The 23,088-nt window shown below is 43.2% G+C and overlaps 1 protein-coding gene and 1 pseudogene across 1 annotated transcript; one reads left to right on the top strand and one right to left on the bottom strand.

The window, feature by feature from the left end:
- Positions 1-14,232: 14,232 nt before the first annotated feature.
- Positions 14,233-18,812, bottom strand: SPMIP10 (sperm microtubule inner protein 10). Its single transcript, NM_207408.3, has 3 exons — positions 18,697-18,812; positions 17,863-17,971; positions 14,233-14,485 (listed from the first exon to the last, which is right to left on the bottom strand). Exons 1-3 carry the CDS (start codon positions 18,780-18,782, stop codon positions 14,276-14,278), a joined length of 405 nt encoding a protein of 134 aa, NP_997291.1. The 5' UTR covers positions 18,783-18,812; the 3' UTR covers positions 14,233-14,275.
- Positions 22,068-22,538, top strand: RPLP1P7 (ribosomal protein lateral stalk subunit P1 pseudogene 7; annotated as a pseudogene).

Below are 23,088 nucleotides of genomic sequence, written 5' to 3'. Positions count from 1 at the left end.
TGAAAATCCTCTCTTCACAGCCATCCCTGGCTCTATTTATCAGGGTTTTATTTTTAACATTAGGTACTCCATTTTTCTTCCTGATAACTTTCACAGCACGATTAGATGCAAATGATATATTCAGATGTTTTCGTGGGGCCAGAACAAAGCACTGTGCATTGTTCAGTTCAACTCTTGTGTTCACCTTCTTTTTTTTCCCATTTAATTCTGGAAATGTACAAAAATTTTACTCTAATGAGCTCCTGGAGTGCAAGGTATCTGTTCATAGAGGGTGTAGCCCCTTTAGGATGCCCTGCAACATTCCCATTCCTCATTCCTAGGAAATCTGGTCTCAGTAATTACCTTGGATTTTGAATTCTAGTTGAGTGGTATAAACATAAGAAATACCTCAAAATTTTACTCGAAGACCTTGCTGGAAATTATTCTATTACCAGCTAAATTTACCTTTAGCCCTTTCAGTGGAAGGGAAAATAATGGAAATATTCTTTTTTTTTTGAGACAGAATTTTCCTCATTGCCCAGGTTAGAGTGCAATGGTGCAATCTCTGCTCACTGCAACCTCCACCTCCCGGGTTCAATCAATTCTCCTGCCTCAGCCTCCCGAGTAGCTGCGATTACAGATGTGTGTCACCATGCCTGGCTAATTTTGTATTTTTAGTAGACAGGGTTTCTCTATGTTGGTCAGGCTGTTCTCAAACTCCTGACCTCAGGTGATCCGTCCTCCTCAGCCTCCTAAAGTGCTGGGATTACTGGTGTGAGCCACCGTGCCTGGCCCTGGAAAGATTCTTAATAGACACAGAGTGCCGATACTGCTTCCTCTTAAAGAGAAGTGGCTTAATTGGCTCTGGTCTATTTTAGTGGTAAGGTAGTATTAGGGGATTATAAGAAGTAAAAATCTACTTATCCTAAATAGCTTTTAGAAATTCAGGACTACCAGCTTTTTGTTCCTTAAATGTATAAAATAACTCCTCTGTGAGGTACTCCCAGTTATTTCTCAAGTCTTGGACTGAATTGGGTTACAGAATGGCACAGTTATGTAAATTATAGCTCACTGTTTATCTCTTCTCATATACCTTTACTTAGGTTTCAGTACGTGCCAAATAAGAAGAGAGAATTAGTCTAGTATTTCTTCTAATTCTTTGGTCCGTACTTATGTTTTCTATGTTATGCGAGTCTGTGTGAAGAGAGTCCACCAACAGGCTTTGTGTGAGCAACAAGTCTGTTTATTTCACTTGGGTGTAAGTGGGCAGAGTCCGAAAAGAGAGTCAGTGTAAATATTGACACACAGTCCTTTTGCAAGGGTGAGGGCTCGAGTTAAGGCAATGAGTTTGGCTTGCTGAGAGGTAGTGGAGTGGGGCAGAGCGGTAGCCTCAACGATAGATGTGGAAGATACTATAGCATAGCCTGCCTTTGCTGGTGTGTGGCAATTAGGCCTGGTGGAATTGCCATCAATAAACCAAGTGTGATCAGGGTGAGGAACAGGAAAGAAGGAAATATGGGGAAATGGGGTGAATGCCAGGTGGATCAGAGAGATACAGTCATGGGGGTCAGGTGTGGTATCCGGAATAATGTGGGAGGCTGGATAGAAGTCCGGGCCAGGAACATGGTAATTGTGGGAGACTCAACAAAGAGTGAGTACAGCTGAAGAAGTGGGGTGGTGGCGCAGAAAGTATATGCATCAGGTGTGAGGAAGAAAATAGATTTTGAAAGTTATGAGAACTGTAGAGAGTGAGTTGAGCATAGTTTGTGATTTTGAGGGCCTCTAAAAGTATTAGAGCAGTAGCAGCTGCCGCATGCAGACATGAGGGCCGGCCTAAAACAGAAAGGTCAAGTTGTTTGGACTAAAAGGCTACAGGGGGCAGTCCCGGTGCTTCTGTAAGAATTCTGACCACATACTCTAGAGAACATGACTCTCTAGATGAACTTGAACTTGAATACAGGGCTTCTCTTCTCCCATTTCTAGTCAGAGGGCTATCCTCCCAGGAGGGGCAAGATGTCAGTATTTCTCATCCTTCCCCCTACCTGTTTCTCAGGCTAAGCACCAGGCAAGTGTGACCAAGAGGTGGGGACTGTCTTCTACCCTGCTTCAACCCATGGGATAGAAGCTCTCTACATTGCGCACATAGCCACCAAGAATATTGAGGCCCCAATTACACTTGCCCAGGTTGTAAGGTGGTGGTTCCATGCTGGGAGAAGCAAGATAAGAAGACCCAATTACACTGTCCTTCCATTCCAGTGAATGCTCAACTCCTGGAATAGGTGTGTCATGTGGAGAGATTTGTGCCTTTTTTTTTTTTCTTGGGATGGAGTTTCGCTGTTGTTTTCAGGATGGAGTGCAACTCCCAGGTTCAAGTGATTCTCCTGTCTCAGCCTCCTGAGTAGCTGGGAGTACAGGCTTGCACCACTAAGTTTGTATTTGCCCGGCTAAATTTGTATTTTTAGTAGAGATGGGGTTTCTCCATGTTGGTCAGGCTGGTCTCGACCTCCCGACCTCAGGTGATCCACCCGACTTGGCCTCCCAAAGTGCTGGGATTACAGGCATGAGCCACCATGCCTGGCCTATGTGCCTTTTTAAAAATCATCCCAAACTCCACAGCCATGGCTTGGAGATTTTGCCTGAGGGGAGAAGCAGGCCATAACACACCTAGCTCCTACTTTCTTCCCAGGGGACATGACTTTTTTGCAAAAGTGTTTGGAGAAGCTTAAGCCTAAGGGGCTCTCCAACACAAGGGAGGTTGTCATGACAGGCAATCGAAAGGATATTGGTAGACTCACTGGAGATAGAAACTGTAGGCTGGCTAGTTTGACTGAGAGAACCAGGGAAAGAGATAGCTGGAAGGATCCTTCTGGAGTAAGAACAAATCTCACTGACCTTGAGAACTATCCCGTCAAAAGAGCCCAAGGCTGGTTGCGGTGGCTCATGCCTGTAATCCCAGCACTTTGGAAGGCCAAGGTGGGTGGATCACCTGAAGTCAGGAGTTCGAGACCAGCCTGGCCAACATGGCGAAACTATCTCTACTAAAAATACAAAAAGTAGCTGGGTGTGGTGGCATGGGACTGTAATCCCAGCTACTCAGGAGGCTGAGGCACAAGAATAGCTGGAACCCAGGAGGTGGAGGCTGCAGTGAGCTGAGACTGAAAAAAAAAAAAGAGCCCAAATGTAATGGGATTAGTCTTTGGAGCAATTCATTCCTTAGGGTGTTGTTGAAAACAATAGAGCAATCAGCCTGCAATTAGTGGAGCTTAACAGCTGGGTGGAGTTAGGGAAATAAATATTGAAGAGAGTCCTGCCAAAACCACTGTCATCAGAGGGTAACTGGGCATAGCCAAGGCTGAGATCCTGAGAAACAGCATCAGAGGTTTAACACTGCAGGTGGATGTGGGGGTGGGAATGGGGGTGGGGAGAGATTAAACTTCACTAAAATTATCCAGCCAGTCACTAAACAAGTAAACAAGCAAATAAGAACAAAATGCACTAGAGTTGGGTGGGACTGGAAGGAGTTAGTACCCAAAGTTGCTACAATATATTTTCTAAAATATCCATTTTCCAACAAAAAATTTTGAGACATGCAAAAAAAAAGAGAGAAGTATAATCCATTCACCAGAAAAAAAAAAAAAGCAAGTAACAGAAATGACCAGCTGTCAGTTTCTTTTTTGTTTATTGAGATGGGGGGTCTCACTATGTTGCCCAGGCTGGTCTTGAACTCCTGAGCTCCAGTGATCCTCCCTCAGCCTCCCAAAGTGCTTGGATTACAGGTGTGAGCCATTGTGCCTGGCCAAGCTGTCAGTTTTAACAAAGCCTTCAAAGGAAACATTAAGAAAACTATGATTAAAGAAGTAGTTCCACCAGCCTGGGCAACATGGCAAGACCTTGTCTCTACAAATAAATAAATGAAAATTTTAAAAAAATTAGTAGGCCAGGTGTGGTGGCTCACGCCTGTAATCCAAGCACTTTGGGAGGCCGAGGTAGGTGGATCACCTGAGGTCAAGAGTTGTTCATGACCAGCCTTGCCAACATGGTGAAACCCCATCTCAACTAAAAATACAAAAAAATTAGCTGGGCATGTTGGCAGTTGCCTGTAATCCTAGCTACTTTGGGAGGCTGAGGCAGGAGAATCACTTGAATCTGGGAGGCGGAGGTTGCAGTGAGCCAAGATTGCACCACTGCATTCCAGCCTGGGTGACAGAGCGAGACTCTGTCTCAAAAAAAAAAAAAAAAAAAAAAAAAAAAAAAAAAAAAATTAAGTGTGGTGGCATGTGCCTGTAGTCTCAGCTACTCTGGAGGCTGAGGTAGGGGGAGTGCTTGAGCCTGGGAGGTGGAAGCTGCAGTGAGCCATGATCACACTACTGGACTCCAGCTTGGGTGACAGAGCAAGACCCTGTCATTAAAAAAAAAAAAAAGAAAGAAAGAAAGAAAGAAAAGAGAAAGAAAAAAATAAAATGAATAGTTTCAGGTTGCTGAACACATGCAGGTGCTGAGAGGGTGGTGCACCTGAAGAGAGCATAGGGGCTCCCTGCTCCTTCCTCCATACCTTGCCTTATGCATGTCTTCCACCTGGCTGTTCTTAAACTGTATCCTTTTATAATAATAAAAAAAGAAGTAGTAAAGGAAGATATGAGAAAAATGTTGCATTAAATAGAGAATAACAGTAAAGAGATAGAAACTCTAAAGAGACAAATGGAAATTCTGGAGTTGAAAAGTATAACAACAAATTAAATATTAATTCACTAGGGGTTGGGGGTAGGGAGGAGGGGATTCAACAGTATCTTCAAACTGGCAGAATAAAAAAAGTAGTGAATTTGAAGATAGATTAATAGGGTTTATGTAACATGAAGAACAAAAAGAAAATAGAATGAAGAAAAATTTACAGAGTCTTAGAGAAATTTGGGACACCACTAAATTCATCAATACAGAAGTAACGGAAGCATGAAGGAGAGGGGAAAAGGAATGGAGCAGAAAAAAAAATTGAAGATACAATGGCTGAAGTCTTGCCAAATTTATTGAATGTTAACTGACACATATAGAGTGCTCAATGAACTCTAAGTAGGATAAACACAAGTAGACCCACAAACAGAAACATCATAGGAAAAATGCGGAGACTCAGCAACAAAGAATAGCCAAAGAAAACAATGAGTCACTTACAAGGGAACCCCAATAACATTAACAGTTGACTTTTCAGCTGAAACAGTGGCAGCCAGAAGGCAGTGGAATAACAAACATATTCAAAGTGCTCTAAAAAAAAAGAAGCAAAACTAAACCTGACAACCAAGAATCCTATATCCACCAAAGCTTCTTTAAAAAATGATGGTGAAATAAAGATTTCCCAGATTAACAAAAACTAAGACAATTCTTTGCTAGTAGACATGCCTTAAAAAAAGTAAAGGACGTTCTTCAGACTAAAAGAAATGAATCTCAGAAGGTAATCTGAATCTACACAAAGAGCAGTAGTGACTTATTTGGCTCTGGCTGCTGTAACAAAATACAGTAGACTGTGTGGCTTAAACAACATTCATTCATGTCTCACAGTTGTGGAATCTGGGAAGTCCAAGGCCAAGGTGCCAGAAGATTGAGTTCCTGGTGAGAGCCTTCTTCCTGGCTTGCAGATGGCCACTTTCTTGCTGTGTTATCACATGGTGGAGAGAGTGAGTGAGCTCTGGTCATTTTCTCTTCTTTTTTTTTTTTTTTTTTTTTTGAGAAAGACTCTCGCTCTGTTGGCCAGTCTGGAGTGCAGTGGCACAATCTCAGCTAACTGCAACCTCTGCTTCCCAGGCTCAAGCGATTCTCCTGCCTCAGGCTCCTGAGTAGCTGGGATTACAAGCATGTGCCACCATGCCCAGCTAATTTTTGTATTTTTAGTAGAGACGGGGTTTCACCATGTTGGCCAGGCTGATCTCGAACTCCTGACCTCAGGTGATCCGCCCACCTCGGCCTCCCAAAGTGCTGGGATTACAGTGTGAGCCACTGTGCCCCAGCCCTCTTTCTCTTCTTATAAGGACACTAATCCCATCATGGGGGCTCCACCCTCATGACTCCATCTAAACCTACTCACTTCCCAATACAATCACATTGGGAGTTTAGGTTTCAATCTTTTAATCTGAGGGGACAAAAACATTTGGTCCCTAACAACCAGTAAGTGTAATTATGTAATTATTCAAGATAGTATAAATGCATATTTCTTCTGCTTTATTTTTTTAACTGATTTAAACAGCAATGGTATAAAATAATATGTATACACTGTATTTTGGGACCTATAACATAAACAAATATATTTGCCTGGATGGGCGCTGTGGCTTACGCATGTAACCCCAGCACTTTGGGAGGCTGAGGCAGGTGGATCACCTGAGGTCAGGAGTTCATGACTAGCCTAGGCCAACATGGGGAAACCCTGTCTCTACTAAAAATACAAAAATTAGCAGGGTGTGATGGCACATGCCTGTAATCCAAGCTACTCAGGAGGCTGAGGCATGAGAATCGCTTGAACCTGGGAAGCAGAGGTTGCAGTGAGCCAAGATCACACCACTGCACTCCAGCCTGGGGGACAGAGTGAGACTGTGTCTCAAAAAAAAACATTAACAATTTAAAAAAACAAGAAATATATTTGCTAATAACAGCCCAAAGGAGATGGGTGGTAGCATAGCTGTATTGGACTAAGGAAATGACTCCAGATGGTAACTCAAATCCACAGGAACAAATGAAGAGAGCCAGAAATGATAAGTGAGAAGGTTGATATAACAAAAGCTATGAATATATACTTGCTATCTTTCCTTCTTTCAGCTTCTTTAAAAGACATAAAATTATATAATGATTATAACAATGTACAGTTGTATTTGTAACATTTAAAAATGTAATATGTGTAACAGTAATAACACAAAAATGGGGGGCAAGAAATAGAGCTATATCGGAGTAACAGGTCTATATCTCACTGAAATTAAATTAGTTGAAATCTGAAGTTGATAAATTAAGTTGCATATGGTAAGCCTGAGAGCAACCACTAAAGAAATAATTCAAAAAATGTATTAAATAACTATTAAATAAATTAAAGTGCTACTTTGAAAATATTCACTTAGGCCGGGCGCAGTCGCTCACACCTGTAATCCCAGCACTTTGGAAGGCCAAGGCAGGTGGGTCACCTGAGGTCAGGAGTTCGAGATCAGCCTGGGCAACATGGTGAAACCCCGACTCTACTAAAAATACAAAATTAGACGGGCGTGGTGGCACATGCTTGTAATCCCAGCTGCTAGGGAGGCTGCGGCAGGAGAATCGCTTGAACCTGGAGGCGGAGGATGCAGTGAGCAGAGATCGCGCCTTTGCACTCCAGCCTGGACAACAAGAGTAAATCTCCATCTCACCAAAAAAAAAAAAAAAAAAAATTCACTTAATTCAAAAGAAAGCAGTAAATGTAAATTGAGGAACAAAAAGGACATGAGGCATATGGAAAACACAGTAAAATGGCAAATATAAATCCAACTATATTCATATTAATTCAGCGTTATTTATTTTTAATATTATCAATAATAATAAAAACTCGGGCCGGGCGCGGTGGCTCATGCCTGTAATCCCAGAACCTTGGGAGGCCAAGGTGGGCGGATCACGAGGTCAGGAGATCAAGACCATCCTGGCTAACACAGTGAAACTCCGTCTCCACTAAAAAAATACAAAAAATTAGCCGGGCCTGGTGGCGGGCGCCTGTAGTCCCAGCTACTCAGGAGGCTGAGGCAGGAGAATGGCGTGAACCCAGGAGGCAGAGATTGCAGTGAGCCGAGATCGCGCCACTGCACTCCAGCCTGGGAGACAGAGTGAGACTCTGTCTCAAAAAAAAAAATAATAATAATAATAACAAAAACTCACTCAAGGAAAAAAAAAAGACAATCTGAATAGACTTACTACAAGTAAAAAATTGAATAAGTAACCCAAAACCTAACTGCAAAGAAAAGCCCAGGCTACGGATTGCTTCACTGGTCAATTCTACCAAACATTTAAAGAAGAATTTATACCAATTCTTTTCAAACCCTTTCAAAAAATAGGAAGGATATTTCCCAATTCATTCTATGAAGCCAGTATTAACGTGATAGCAAAGCTGAACAATGATATCACAAGAAAAGTACAGAGCAATATCCCTTTTGAATATGGATGTAAAAGTCCTCAGCAAAATACTATCAAATCATATCCCGCAGCATATAAAAAGAATCACAAGCATACCTCATTTTCTTGTGTTTTGCAGACACTGTTTTTTACAAATCGAAGATCTGTGGCAGCCCTGTGTTGAGTAAGTCATTGGTGCCATTTTTCTAACACCATGCACTCGCTTTATGTCTCTGTGTCACTTTTTGGAAATTTTAACAATTTTTCAAGCTTTTTCATTATTATTATATGTGTTGTAGTGATCTGTGATCAGTGATCTTTGATGTTACTATTGGAATTGTTTTGTGGCACCATGAGCTGCACCCATAGAAGACAGCAAACTTAATGGATAAATGTGGTGTGTGTTCTGACTACTCCACTGACTGGCCATTCCCCTATTCCTATCCCTCTCCTTGGACTTCCCTATTCCCTGAGACACAACAATATTGAAATTAGTCCAATTAATAACCCTACGATGGCTTCTAAGTGTTCAAGAGAAAGGAAGTACACACGTCTCCCACTTTAAATCTGTATTAGTCGGTTCTTGCATTGCTACAAAGGAATACCTGAGACTGGGTAATTTATAAAGAAAAGAGGTTAAATGGGCTAATGGTTGTGCAGGCTGTAGAAGCATGGCACCACCATTGCTTGGCTTCTGGGGAGGCCTCAGGAAGCTTTTACTCATGGTGGAAGGCAAAGTGGGAGCAGGCACATCATAAGGCAAAAGCAGGAGCAAGAGAGAGTCGGGGTGGGGGGAAGTGCTACACGCTTAAAGGACCACATCTCGTGTGAACTCATAGCGAAAGCTCACATATCACCAAGGGGATGGCCCAAGCCATTCATGAGGGATCTGCCCGCATGATCCACACACCTCCCACCAGGTCCCACCTCCTAGGCTGGGGATTACATTTCAACATGAGATTTGGACAGGAAGATACATTCAAACTATATCAAAATTGAAAGCTAGAAATGGTTAAGCCTAGTGAAGAAATGTTGAAAGCCAAGATAGGCCAAAAGAAAGCCTCTTGCACCAAACAGCCAGGTTTTGAATGCAAAGGAAAAGTTCTTGAAGGAAATTAAAAGTGCTACTCCAGGGAATACATGAATGATATTAATAAGTGAAACAGTCATATTGCTGACATGGGGAAAGTTTTAGTGATCCATATAGAAGGTCAAACCAGCCACAAAATTCCCTTAAGACAAAGCCTAATCCAGGGAAGCTGAGAGGTGAGGAAGCTGCAGAAGAATAGTCTGAAGCTAGCAGAGGTTGCCTCATGAGGCTTAGGAAGCTGAGTCTATAATACATAGAATTGGTGAGAGCAGCCATCTCTATCTTCTTCCTGATCTTAGGAGGAAGTGATCCAATCTTTCTTCACCATTAGTTATAATATTAGCTGTGGGGTTTTTGTTTTGTTTTGTTTGTTTTTCAATTTTTTGCTGTGGGTTTTTCATGGATGAGCTTTATCAGGTTGAGGAAGTTTCCTTTGATTCCTAGTTTTTATCACGAAGGAGTGTTAGATTTTGTTACACGCTTTTTTAGTGTCTACTGAGATCATCATGTGGCTTTTGTGTTTTATTCTTTTGATATAGAGTGTTACATTAATTGATTCTTGGATATTAATCTAACCCTGCATTCCTAGGTCAAATCACATTTAGTCAGGATGTGACTTATACTTGCACCTTATACATCCTGACTAAATGTGATTTAACCCAGGAATGCAGGGAGGGAGATACTGCACGTTCAGTTCCAGACCACTGGAAGTGCTCTGAATTAAGCTTTGGCTTAAGGGAATTTTGTGGCTGGCTTGATCTTCTGTGTAGACCACTAAAACTTTCCCCCTATCAGCAATATGGCTGTGTCATTTATCATTCATGTATTCCCTGGAGTAGTACTTTTAATTTCCTTCACTGGAAAAATTGCAATAAAGCAAGTATTGCAATAAAGTGAATCACACAATTTTTTTTTGGTTTCCGAATGCATATAAAAGTTACATTTACGGCTGGGTGCGATGGCTCACGCCTGTAATCCCAGCACTTTGGGAGGCCGAGGTGGGTGGATCACGAGGTCAGGGGTTCGAGACCAGCCTGACCAACATGGTGAAACCTCATCTCTACTAAAAATACAAAAATTAGCCAGGCTTGGTGGCACACACCTGTAATCCCAACTACTCAGGAGGCTGAGGCAGGAGAATCGCTTGAACCTGGAAGGCGGAGGTTGCAGTGAGCCAAGATCGCGACACTGCACTCCAGCCTGGGTGAGAGAGCAAGACTCCATCTCAAAAAAAAAAAAAAATTACATTTATGCTATACTGTAGTATACTAAGTGCTCAATAGCATTCTGTCTAAAAAATGTATATACTTAAATCTTAAAATATTGTTTTTGTTTGTTTGTTCTGAGATGAGGTCTTGCTCTGTCACTCAGGCTGGAGTGCAATGGCCCGATCTCGGCTCACTGCAACCTCTGCCTCCTGGGTTCACGCCATTCTCCTGTCTCAGCCTCCCGAGTAGCTGGGACTACAGGCGCATGCTGCCATGCCCGGCTAATTTTTTGTATTTTTAGTAGAGACGGGGTTTCACCGTGTTAGCCAGGATGGTCTCGATCTCCTGACCTCGTGATCCGCCCAGCTCAGCCTCCCAAAGTGCTGGGATTACAGGCCTGAGCCACCGTGCCCGGCAATATTGTTTTTTAGAAAAGCCGCAGTATGCTATGTTTGCACCTGTGAATAGCCACTGCACTCCAGCCAGTGCAACATAGCAATAATTTGTATCTAGGAAAATAAAACAAAAAGGCCGGGCATGGTGGCTCACGCCTGTAATCCCAACACTTTGGGAGGCCGAGGCAGGCGGATCAGCTGAGGTCAGGAGTTCAAGACCAGCCTGGCCAACGTGGTGAAACCCCGTCTCTACTAAAAATACAAAAGTTAGCCGGGCATGGTGGCAGGCGCCTGTAGACCCAGCTCAGGAGGCTGAGGCAGGAGTATTGCTTGAACCTGGGAGGCGGAGGTTGCTGTGAGCCGAGATCACGCCACCGCACTCCAGCCTAGGTGACAGAGCAAGACTCCGTCTCAAAATAAATAAATACATAAACAAATAAGTAAAACAAATAACCTAACATTTAAAAAAAATGTATTACTGGCTGGGCACAGTGGCTCATGCCTGTAATCCCAGCACTTTGGGAGGCCGAGGTGGGTGGATTGCCTCAGCTCAAGAGTTCAAGACCAGTCTGGTCAACATGGTGAAATTCAGTCTCTACTAAAAATACAAAAAAATTAGCTGGGCATGGCGGTGTGCGCCTGTAGTCCCAGCTATATTACTAAATAGCTTTTTTGGTGAGGATATGCCAAGAACCTCAAGTTTGAACCGCTTCTTATCCAAGGCTGCCATCTCAGTTATCTTTGATATGCTACGAAGCACCTGGCATAAGTTAAACAGAATTTATATGTGCCACGCGATATGAAGACGGCATACTAAGCATTTGTCACGTTAAAAATAGCTGTGCTGGCCGGGCGCGGTGGCTCACGCCTGTTATCCCAGCACTTTGGGAGGCCGAGGCGGGTGGATCACGAGGTCAGGAGATAGAGACCATCCTGGCTAACACGATGAAATCCCTTCTCTACTAAAAATACAAAAAAAATTAGCCGGGCGTGGTGGCAGGCGCCTGTAGTCCCAGCTACGCAGGAGGCTGAGGCAGGAGAATGGCGTGAACCCGGCAGGCGAAGCTTGCGGTGAGCCGAGATCGCGCCACTGCACTCCAGCCTGGGCGGCAGAGCGAGACTCCGTCTCAAAAAAAAAAAAAAAAAAAAAAAAAAAAATAGCTGTGCTTGGCCGGGCCGCGGTGGCTCACGCCCGTAATCCCAGCACTTTGGGAGGCCGAGTCCGTCGGATCACGAAGTCAGGAGATCGAGACCATCCTGGCTAACACAGTGAAACCCTGTCTCTACTAAAAACACAAAAAATTAGCCGGGTGTCCTGGCACGCACCTGTAGTCCCAGCTACTCGGGAGGCTGAGGCAGGAGAATCGCTTGAACCCGGGAGGTGGAGGTTGCCACTGCACTCCAGCTTGGGCAACAGAGCGAGACTCCCTCTCAAAAAACAAACAAAAACAAATAAAATAAAATAAAATAAATAAAAGTTTTGCTATGTTGCTCAGGCTGGTCTCTAACTAATGGGCTCAAGCAATCATCCCGCATCAGCATCTATAGTAGCTGGGACTACAAGCCTGCACTACGACACCTGGCTGGCCCTTTTTGAATATCCTATTTAGTGGCATTAAGTACATTCACCTTAGGCAACCATCCATCTCTAGAATTTTTCCATCATGCCAATATGAAATTCTGTACATATTAAATGATAACTTCCCATTCCCTCCTCCCCCACAGAACCTGGTAACCACCTTCCTTCCTTCCTTCCTTCCTTCCTTCCTTCCTTCCTTCCTTCCTTCCTTCCTTCCTCCCTCCCTCCCTCCCTCCCTCCCTCCCTCCCTCCCTTCCTCCCTTCCTTCCTCCCTTCCTCCCTTCCCTTCCTCCCTTCCTTCCTTTTTTGTGTGTGACAGAGTTTTGCTCTTGTTGCCCAGGCTGGAGTGCAATGGCGAGATCTCGGCTCACCACAACCTCCACCTCCTGGGTTCAAGCCATTCTCCTGCCTCAGCCTCCCGAGTAGATGGGATTACAGGCATGAGCCACCACACCTGGCTAATTTTGCATTTTTAGTGGAGACGGGATTTCTCCATGTTGGTCAGGCTGGTCTCGAACTCCCGACCTCAGGTGACCCACCTGCCTCGACCTCCCAAAGTGCTAGGATTACAGGCGTAAGACCCTGTGCCCAGCTATTCTTTCTTTCTTTCTTTATGAAGGTGACTATTTTAGGATCTCACATAAGAGGAATCCACACAATATTTATTCTTTTGTGTCTGGGTTGTTCCATTTAGTATGAGGTTTTCAACGTTCCTCCATGTTGTAGCATGTATCAGAATATCACTCCTTTTTGTGAGTAAATAATATTCCATTGTATGTGTATACCACATTTTGTTTATCCATTCATCAGGTGATGAACATTTGGGTTGTTTCCACATTTTTGCTATTGTGAATAATGCTGCTATGAACACTGGTGTACAAATATCTGTTCACGTTCTTGGTGTCAATTCTTTTGAGTATATTCTGAGAAGTGGAATTGCTGAATCATATGGTAATTCTATGTTTAATTTTTTGAGGAACTGCCAGGCTGTCTTCTACAGTGGCTGTACCACTTTACATATGGTAGTTTTTATGCAGCCAAATTATGTGAATAAATTATTTGCTGTAGGAAATTGGCACTTGTATACTCTAAACCAATACAGAAAGTACATCTCTCTCACTAAAATTGTTTGATGCATCAAAGAGTTGTCTGCTAAACACTTCTAATTACCATGGTGATTAATTACCAGTATCCAGAATCTTAGATATATGTGTGTTGGAGGCGTGGGTCAGAAAAGAGGAGGTTAGGTGGAATCAGCAAGCAGCAAAAATATTTCCAAATCCTGCCAGGCGTGGTGGCTCACACCTGTAATCCCAGCACTTTGGGAGGTTTAGGTGGGTGGATCACTTGAGCTCAGGAGTCTGAGACTGGCCTGGGGAACATGATGAAACCCCATCTCTACAAAAAATAAAAAATTAGCCAGGCATGCTGGCGTGCACCTATAGTCCCAGCTACTTGGGATGCAGAGGTTGCAGTGAGCCACTGGGCAACAGAGTGAGACTCTGTCTCAAAAATAAATAAATTAATTAATTAAACATCCTGCAACTCTATTTCAGTTTGGTTCCTCTGACATTGAAGATCAAAGAGGATGAATAATAAAGATATAGTGAGGAGGAGAGAAAGGTAGAGGAATGTGGTAAGGTTAGGCAGTGGAACTGGACTGGTCTGCTGATTCTTATGTAGTTAGTGTGAAATGAATGTCAGCAAGGCAGTTTTCCTTCTTCCTCCACTTCATCTCAGATTATCTCAGAGTCTGTTTCCTTGCTAAAGGTTGTATAATCTATAAATTATACAACTGACTTAAGACCTTTAAACAAATTGAACTTGCAGGTGAAATACAAATTTACAACGAACTTAAACATTTATCAGAGACAGTAAGAGAGCAGAGATTGAAACACTTTATTATTTTATTCTTCTTTCATTAGACTAGTCGCCTCCTGAAGCCATGGGAAATCACAGTGCTTTGGTATCTGGAGAGAGGCGAATGCAAAGGCATATCTGCAATTTTTATTTCTGGTGGGCCTTTTTGGAAGACAACTTTACGATCTTCCCCATGGCAAAGCCTTTCACTGTGATTCAAAAACAGAGAGTCTTCTAAAGGGCCAGTATGGATCCCACACACTTCTGCTTGCTAAGAGAAAAGAAAATCTTCTGTGTATCACATCAAACATCATTTTCTTGTTAGATTAAGAAGGAAGTTTCATCAGGAGCCATGGCTCATGCCTGTAATCCCAGCAATTTGGGAGGCCAAGACAGGAAGATTGCTTGAGCTCAGGAATTTGAGACCAGCCTGGGCAACAGAGCAAGACCCCATCTATACAAAAAATAAAAAATTAGGTGGGTGTCGTGGCACGCGTCTGTGAGGCTGAGGCAAGAGAATCCCTTGATCCTGGGAAATCAAGGCTGCAGTGAGCTATGATCACACCCCTGCACTTCAGCCTGGGCAACAGAGTGAGACCCCATCCCCTCTCCAAAAATGATGGAAGTTTCCCAATAGTTTTTCTAACTATCCTTGTTGAGAAGGAAGCTCTGCTGAACAGAGGAACATCCCTTTTCTAAAAGCAATGCTTTGTGGGTCAGTGTGATCTGACTACCAGAAAGAGTCATGCAGACTATAAATGTGATATATTTGGAGGCAGATTGTTGAACTTTAGCTTCACTACTTAACGTGACCTTTTCAAGTCATTTACTCCCAGAAGACTCAGCTTTTTCAAATATAAAATGGGAATATTAAAGGATTCTTTGAGTAGCAGATAAAATATATGTGAATGAAAAAGCTTTGCCAACTACAAAGTATCAAAAAGGTTTAAAGTATGATGATGCTGTTATGACTGTTGAATAAATAAATAACAACTGTTTGAAGTTATTAACTTAAATACACATCTACTTTTGATTCTTCAGTATTGCCAAATAGCATTCTGGTCAGTTCTTGGGATGCAGCCCCAACTCTGGTATGCTGTGTTTCATATATATATATATATATATATATATTTCACAGACGGGGCCTCAGTCTGTCACCCAGGCTGGAGTGCAGTGGTGCAATCATAGCTCACTGCAGCCTGGAACTCCTAGGCTCAAGCAATCCTCCTGCCTCAGCCTCCCAAGTAGCTGGGACTACAGCACACACCACAATGCCTGGATAATTTTTTTTTTTAATAGACAGGATCTCGCTATGTTGCTCTGGCTGGTCTTAAACTCCTGGCCTCAAACTATCCCCCTGTCTCAGCCTCCCAACGTGCTAAGATTAGAGGCATAAGCCACTGCACCTAGTCTGTGTGCTATATTTTTTAATGTTGTTAGATGCAGTTTTTAACTCCTAATGGAAAAATGGTGAGGATAAATAAAAGGAAGGAAAGCATAAGTTAGCATTTACTAGCATTTACTCAGTGTGGGCACATTCACTTTACTTAATTCACTTATTTAAGTTTCATTGGTAGGAACACTGTCAACTAAATTGCAAAAGTAAAATAGCTCTGAAAAATGATGCTGAATTATACTCTAAAAGTAAGGTCAAGAATAAGTGTTTTGATGCAATCAAAACAAAGTTTTTCTTTACTGATTTCAACTTATAAAGTTTACAACCTATAATTCTCATAAATGAAAAAGTCAGTACTGTCACCATGCTGAAGCTACTTAGGGCATTGAAAATGACCTTGATATGCCACTAAATTACATGAAATGCAGACTAATATTAAGACTGTAGTAAGTCTGAGTAAACATTTATTTATTTGTTTGAGATGGAGTCTTGCTCTGTTGCCCAGGCTGGAGTGCAGTGGCGTGATCTGGCTTGCTGCAGTGTGTCTCCCGGATTCAAGCGATTCTCCTGCCTCAGCCTCCCAAGTAGCTGGGATTACAGGCATGTGCCATCATGCCCGGCTAATTTTTGTATTTTTAGTAGAGATGGGGTTTCACCATGTTGGCCAGGCTGGTCTTGAACTCCTGAACTCAGGTTATCTGCCCGCCTCCGCCTCCCAAAGTGCTAGGATCACAGGCATGAGCCACCACGCCAGCCAGAAAATGTTTTAAAACAAGCCTGTTGGAATCCCTGCTTTCAATTATTTTGAGCATATACTTAGAAGTGGAATTGCTGAATCATATGGTAATTCTATGTTTAATTTTTTGAAGAATGGTCTCACTATCTTCTACAGTGGCTGCGGCATTTTACCTATAGTAGTTTTCCTGCTGTTATAAAACTACTGACTGGAGCCGGGTACAGTGGTTCATGCCTGTAATCCTAGCACTTTGGGAGGCTGAGGCAGGAGAATCGCTTGGGCCCAGGAGACCAGCCTGGACCACATAGTAGAGATCCCATCTCTACAAAAAATACCAAAACTCTCCGGGCATGGTGGCATGTGCCTGTAGTCCCAGCTGCTCAGGAGGCTGAGGTGGGAGGATCACCTGAGCCCAAGAGGTTGCTGCAGCTGCAGTGAGCCATGATTGCATCATTGCACTCCTGTCTGGGTGACAGAGTGAGATCCTGTCTCTAAATAAATAAATAAAGTAGGCCCGGTGTGGTGGCTAACTCCTGTAATCCTAGAATTTTGGAAGGCCGAGGCAGTAGGATTGCTTGAGCTCAGGAGTTCAAGACCAAACTGGAAGACATAGTGAGACCCCATCTCTACTAAAAATCAAAAAGCTAGCAAGGTGTGGTGATGTGCACCTGTAATCCCAGCTACTTGGGAGACTGAGGCAGGAGGATCAATTGAGCTCAGCAGATGAGGCTGCAGTGAGCTGTGATCACGCCACTGCACTCCAGCCTGGATGACAGAGCGAGACCCTGTCTCCAAAAAGAAAAAAAGGAATAAATAAATAAAACTGCTGACTGAACAGGAGCATTGAATGGGTAAATCATGTGTAAACTAGCCAAAATATTCCCATGCCTCTCTATCTGAATATGCAGTATAATCTAAAAAATATATGCTTTGTAGTGTACCTTTAATATTAATGGCATCTTCTGATGATGAGTTTAACAACTGCAAGATAGCATGATGTAGAGTTTCTGAAATTCTTCGGTATATAATTAGGTTATTTAAACAGATATTACTATTTAACATTTGTTTGCAAGTTTGTGACAGTACATCAAAATAGTTTTTGTATAGTTACACACGTCTATCACAGACATACTAAATTATATATATATATATATATATATATGTAAAATTTATTTATTTATTTAGAGACAGAGTCTAGCTCTGTTGCCCAGGCTAGATTGCAGTGGCGCAATCTTGGCTTACTGCAACCTCTGCCTCTCGGGTTCAAGAGATTCTCATGCCTCAGCCTCCCGAGTAGCTGGGATTACAACTGCCCGCCACCATGCCCAGCTAATTTTCATATTTTTAGTAGAGATGGGGTTCCGCCAGTTGGCTAGGCTGGTCTCGAACTCCTGACCTCAAGTGATCCACCCGCCTCGGTCTCCCAAAGTGCTAGGATTATTGGCACAAGTCACCGCATCCGGCTTAATGTTTTTGTTTTTGTTTTTTTTCCTTATGTGTGCTTATGGGGAAATACCTTCAGATTCACATTCCTGAATATCATGTTTTCTTTCCAAGGCATGACATAACGTCTTGGGATCATCCCTTGCTTTAATGAAAATCGTGGCAAATGAATCTCTTCATACCTGATGATTAGGAAAGCAAGAAGACATCTTGTGAGCCAAATACAATCATTTTAGCATCATTCCAGGCACTGGAGGCAGTTGTGCATTCATGTTTGGTCCCCTGCTGTTGCAGGACAGACGGCTGTGCCATTGAAACTCAGCTAAAAGATAACCATTTAAGTACCCATGTATCAGCAAGATCAAGTCAGGGCCAGGTATCTGTAATTCTAACTGCATGCTGTCCTTTACAATTTGCCCACAATGTCCATTTTAATCTGACTTTTTTTTTTTTTTTTTTTTTTTTTTTTAATGAGATGGAGTGCATTATCATGCCCAGCTGGGGTTTTGCCATGTTGGTCAGGCTGGTCTCGAATTCCTGACCTCAAGTGAACCACCCACCTTGGCCTCTCAAACTGTTGACATTACAGCCGTGAGCCACTGCACCCTGCCCATTTTAACTTGACTTTAAGGGAAAAGGCAAGGCACCTAGATTTGCCTCAGGCCTACCGACTGCCTAAAGGAAATGTCTGGCCAGCCACAAAAAACAGAAACTATATTGGCTTCTGAATTTATGTATGCTCTACACTCAGGTCAGATTTGCTTTCCCTGCACACATATTTCCCTCTGGAACATAAAGCTTTCTGTATAGATGCCAAAGGGGAACACAAAGTTATTGACCGTATCTTTGTGGCTCCCAGGTTGCAAAACAAGCAAACAAAAAACCCCAGAATCCCATAAATCCTTACTTATTAGCAGATTTATAGAGACTCTCATCAGAGCAGTTGTTAGTGAGTTTAGGCAAAGTAGGACAAGTATCTTTCCCTGAAGCCATTCCTGACAGCAATGGATGGAATACTCATCTAAAACTTCACTAACTCACTAGTCTAATTATGATGACAACGCTGCTCTGATGTAACAATGTTTTGCTAACTTCATAGTAACTCTCGGCAGTTACAGTAGCAGTTAAGAGTGTCCAGCTCACAGGTGTGGTGGTGGGTGCCTGTAATCCCAGCTACTCAGGAGGCCAAGGCAGGAGAATCACTTGAACCCAGGAGGCAAAGGTTGCAGTGAGCCGAGACTGCGCCACTGCACTCCAACCTGGGTGACAGAGTGAGACTCTAAATCAAAAAAAAAAAGTGTCCAGCTCAGAGCTATTTTCAGGGCTTTAAAAAAAATCCCCCTTCTGGCCTGGCACAGTGGCTCATGCCTGTAATCCTAGCACTTTGGGAGGATGTGGCAGGAGGATCACTTGAGCCCAGGAATTTGAGACCAGCCTGGGCAACATAGTAAATTCCGGTCTCTACAAAAAATAAAAAAATTTGGCCAAGTGTAGTGGCTCATGCCTGTAATCCCAGCGCTTTGGGAGTCCGAGGCAGGTGGATCACTTGAGGTCAGGAGTTCAAGACCAGCCTGGCCAACATGGTAAAACACCTTCTCTACTAAAAACACAAAAATTAGCCAGGCATGGTGGTGTGCGCCTGTAATCCCAGCTACTTGGGAGGCTGAGGCAGGAGAATTGCTTGAATCCGGGGGCAGAGGTTGCGGCAAACAGAGATGATGCCACTCCACTCCAGCCTGGGTGACAGAGCAAGATTCCATCTCAATAAATAAATAAATAAATAAATAAATAAATAAATAAATAAGCAAGCTGGGCGTGGTCACATGTACTTGTGGTCCCAGCTATTTGAAAGGCTGAGGCAGGAGGATCACTTGAACCCAGGAGATCGAAGCTGCAGTGAGCTGTGATTGCACCACGGCTCTCCAGTCAGGGCAACAAAGCAATACCTTGTCTCCAAAAAACAAGACAAAACAAAACAAAATAAAACAAATTCCTTTTTGAGTAGAACATCATTCTTATAATGAGCAATTAAAAATGAAGATGTTTGTGACACAAATTTGACACATACTAGAAAATACGTTGAACTGAACAATTATTCAGTAATTAAAAAATAATCACTTCAAATTAACATTCTGTATTGGTCCGTGGCTGATTTTCCTCTTTATATATTGCGTATGCCACCTACAGTCAACCGATTTTCAACAAAGGTGCCAAGAACACACACGAGGGAAAAGACAGTCTCTTCAATAAACAGTGCTGGGGAAATTGAACATCCCCATGAAGAAGAATGAGACTAGACCCCTACCTCTCACCATACACAAAAATCAACTCAGAATGGATTAGGATTAAATGTAACTTGAAACTACAAAACTACTAGAAAACATACAGAAATACTCTACAACATTGGGCTGGGCAAGGTTTTTTTTTTTTTTGAGACGGAGGTTCTCACTCTGTCACTCAAGGTTGAGTGCAGTGGCACAATCACGGCTCACTGCAGCCTCAACCTCAATCAATCGTGGGCCCAGGTGATCTTCCCACCCCAGCCTCCCAATAGCTGGGACCACAGGTGTGCACTACCATGCCTGCCTAATTTTAAAAATTTTCTTTTTTTTTGAGACAGAGTCTCACTCTGTCACCAGGCTGGAGTGCAGCGGTGCGATCTCAGCTCACTGCATCTTCCGACTCCCTGGTTCAAGCGATTCTCCTGCCTCAGCCTCCCGAGTAGCTGGGATTACAGGCATGTGCCACAACGCCCAGCTAATTTTTGTATTTTTAGTAGAGACAGCATTTCACCATGTGGGCCAGGATGGTTTTGATCTCCTGACCTCATGATCTGACCGCCTTGGCCTCCCAAAGTGCTGGAATTACAGGCGTGAGCCACCGCGCCCAGCCTAATTTTTAAATTTTTTATAGAGATGGGGTTTTGCCATGTTGCCCAGGCTAGTCTTGAACTCCTATGCTTATGTGATTCACCCACTCAAGCCTCCCAAAGTGCTGGGATTACAGGTGTGAGCCACTTTGCCTGGCCCAAGGATTTTTAAAATAAGACCTCAGCAAAACAGGCCAACAAAAGCAAAAATAAACACATGGGATTACATCAAACTGACAGGCTTTTGCACAGCAAAGGAAACAAGAGTGAAGAGACAACCTACAGAATGGGACAAAACATCTGCAAAATATATATCTGACAAGGGGTTAAAAACCAGACTACATAAAGAACAGTGAAAAATGACCAATCTGATTTAAAACTGGGTAAAATGACTGGGTGTGGTGGCTCATGCCTATAATACCAGCACTTTGGGAGGCTGAGGCAGGAGGATTGCTTGAGCCCAGGAGTTCGAGACCAGTGTGGTGCTAAGCATGATGGATCCTCAGGCAGGAAGATCGCTTGAGCCTGGAAGGTCGAGGCTGCAGTGAACCATGACTGTGCCACTGCACTCCCAGCCCAGGCAACACAGCGAGACACTGTCTTAAAAGGTGAAAGATCTTAGTAGACATTTCTCAAAAGAACACATGCAAAGGTCAAGTAATGAAAAAATGCTCAACATCACTATATACTGCACAACTGATATGTGTCCCATTTATGTTTCACCATCTATTACATGCAGCTCAAGAGTGTAAATCCAATTTGTTTAAACTCAAACCAATCCAGCCTATTTTATCCCCTAAGATTTGTCATATTGCAGAATATTTTAGGTTATGAAAACTGATTTTAATAAAGAAAGGTTACTAGTGAGGATAAATGCTTAAACTACTATAACAGAGAGGTGGATGGTTATTAGTGTAAGTCCTACCCACTGGCAAGTAGAAAAAATATTATTAGGCTAAGCAGGAAGAATTACTGCAAGATATGCTGGTTTGATGAGAGCATAAACTAAAAGAATACATACCTAAGAACAGTTTGCACATCTTGATTTGGATAGCCAGAAAGGTTCAGAGTCATCTTAGATAATTTTTTATTATATTTTTGGAGATGGAGTCTAGCTCTGTGCCCAGTCTGGAGTGCAGTTGCATGATCTTCGTTCACTGCAACCTCCGTCTCCCGGGTTCAAGCAATTCTCCTGCCTCAGGCTCTCAAGTAGCTGGGACCACAGGCACACACTGCCATGCCCAGCTGATTTTTTGTATTTTAGTATAGACGGGGTTTCACCGTGTTGCCCAGGCTGGTCTCGAACTCCTGAGCTCAGGCAATCCGCCTGCCTCGGCCTCCCAGTGTTAGAATTACAGGTATGAGCCACCATGCCGGGCCGATAAATTTTTAAAGAACCTTAAAAACTGCCCTTTCCTCAGCTGCTGCCAAGGTGCTTGGTCATTCCAAGGAAGCTAAGGCCACATTGGGGTGAGAGCCTCACTTCATCCGGCGATTAGCACCTCATCCAGCAGCGCCAGCCCCACACACACCCGTGCCATGGCCTCCCTCTCCGAGCTCGCCTACATCTACTCGGCCCTCATTCTGCATAATGATAAAATCAATGCCCTCATTAAAGCAGCTGGTGTAAATGTTGAACCTTTCTGGCCTGGCGTGTTTGCAAAGGCCCTAGCCAATGTCAGCATCGGGAACCCCATCTGCAATGTAAGGGCTGGTGGACTTGCAGCAGCTGGAGATCCTACCCCCTCCACTGCTGCTGCTTCAGTTGAGAAGAAAGTGGAAGCAAAGAAAGAAGAATCCGAGGAATCTGATGAGGACATGGGCTTTGGTCTTTTTGACTAAACCTCTTTTACAGCATATTCAATAAAAACCTAAACTTTGAAAAAAAGAAATAACCTTAAAAATTGAAGCACTGCTTTCTGTATGGCAGTAGGATGCAACACAAGCCAGAAATCTGAGTGGTTTCCAAATGTTAAAGAAACAACTATTGGCTGGGCGTGGTAGCTCATGCCTGTAATCCCAACACTTTGGGAGGCTGAGGCAGGTGGATCACCTGAGGTCAGGAGTTTGAGACCAGCCTGGCCAACATGGTGAAACCCTGTCTCTACTAAAAATACAAAAAAATTAGCTGGGTGTGGTGGCGTGTGCTTGTAATCCCAGCCACTTGGGAGGCTGAAGCAGGAGAATCGCTTGAACTCGGGAGGCGGAGGTTGCAGTGAGCTGAGATGGTGCCATTGCATTCCAGCCTAGGCAACAAAAGTGAAAACTCCGTCTTAAAAAAAAAGAAAAAGAAAAAAAAAAACAACTATTGCTAAAAAACCAGGAAGGTGTGGGGAAGAAACAATCTTGATGAAGATAAAGTAGCTTCAGGCATCAACGCCCTTTAAAAGGCATAACTTTTGCTAGAAAAATTGGCAATATTTACATTAA

Source organism: Homo sapiens, chromosome 5, assembly GCF_000001405.40.
Source record: "Homo sapiens chromosome 5, GRCh38.p14 Primary Assembly".
Taxonomy (NCBI): domain Eukaryota; kingdom Metazoa; phylum Chordata; class Mammalia; order Primates; family Hominidae; genus Homo; species Homo sapiens.
This window is presented reverse-complemented; position numbering and strand designations above follow the sequence as displayed.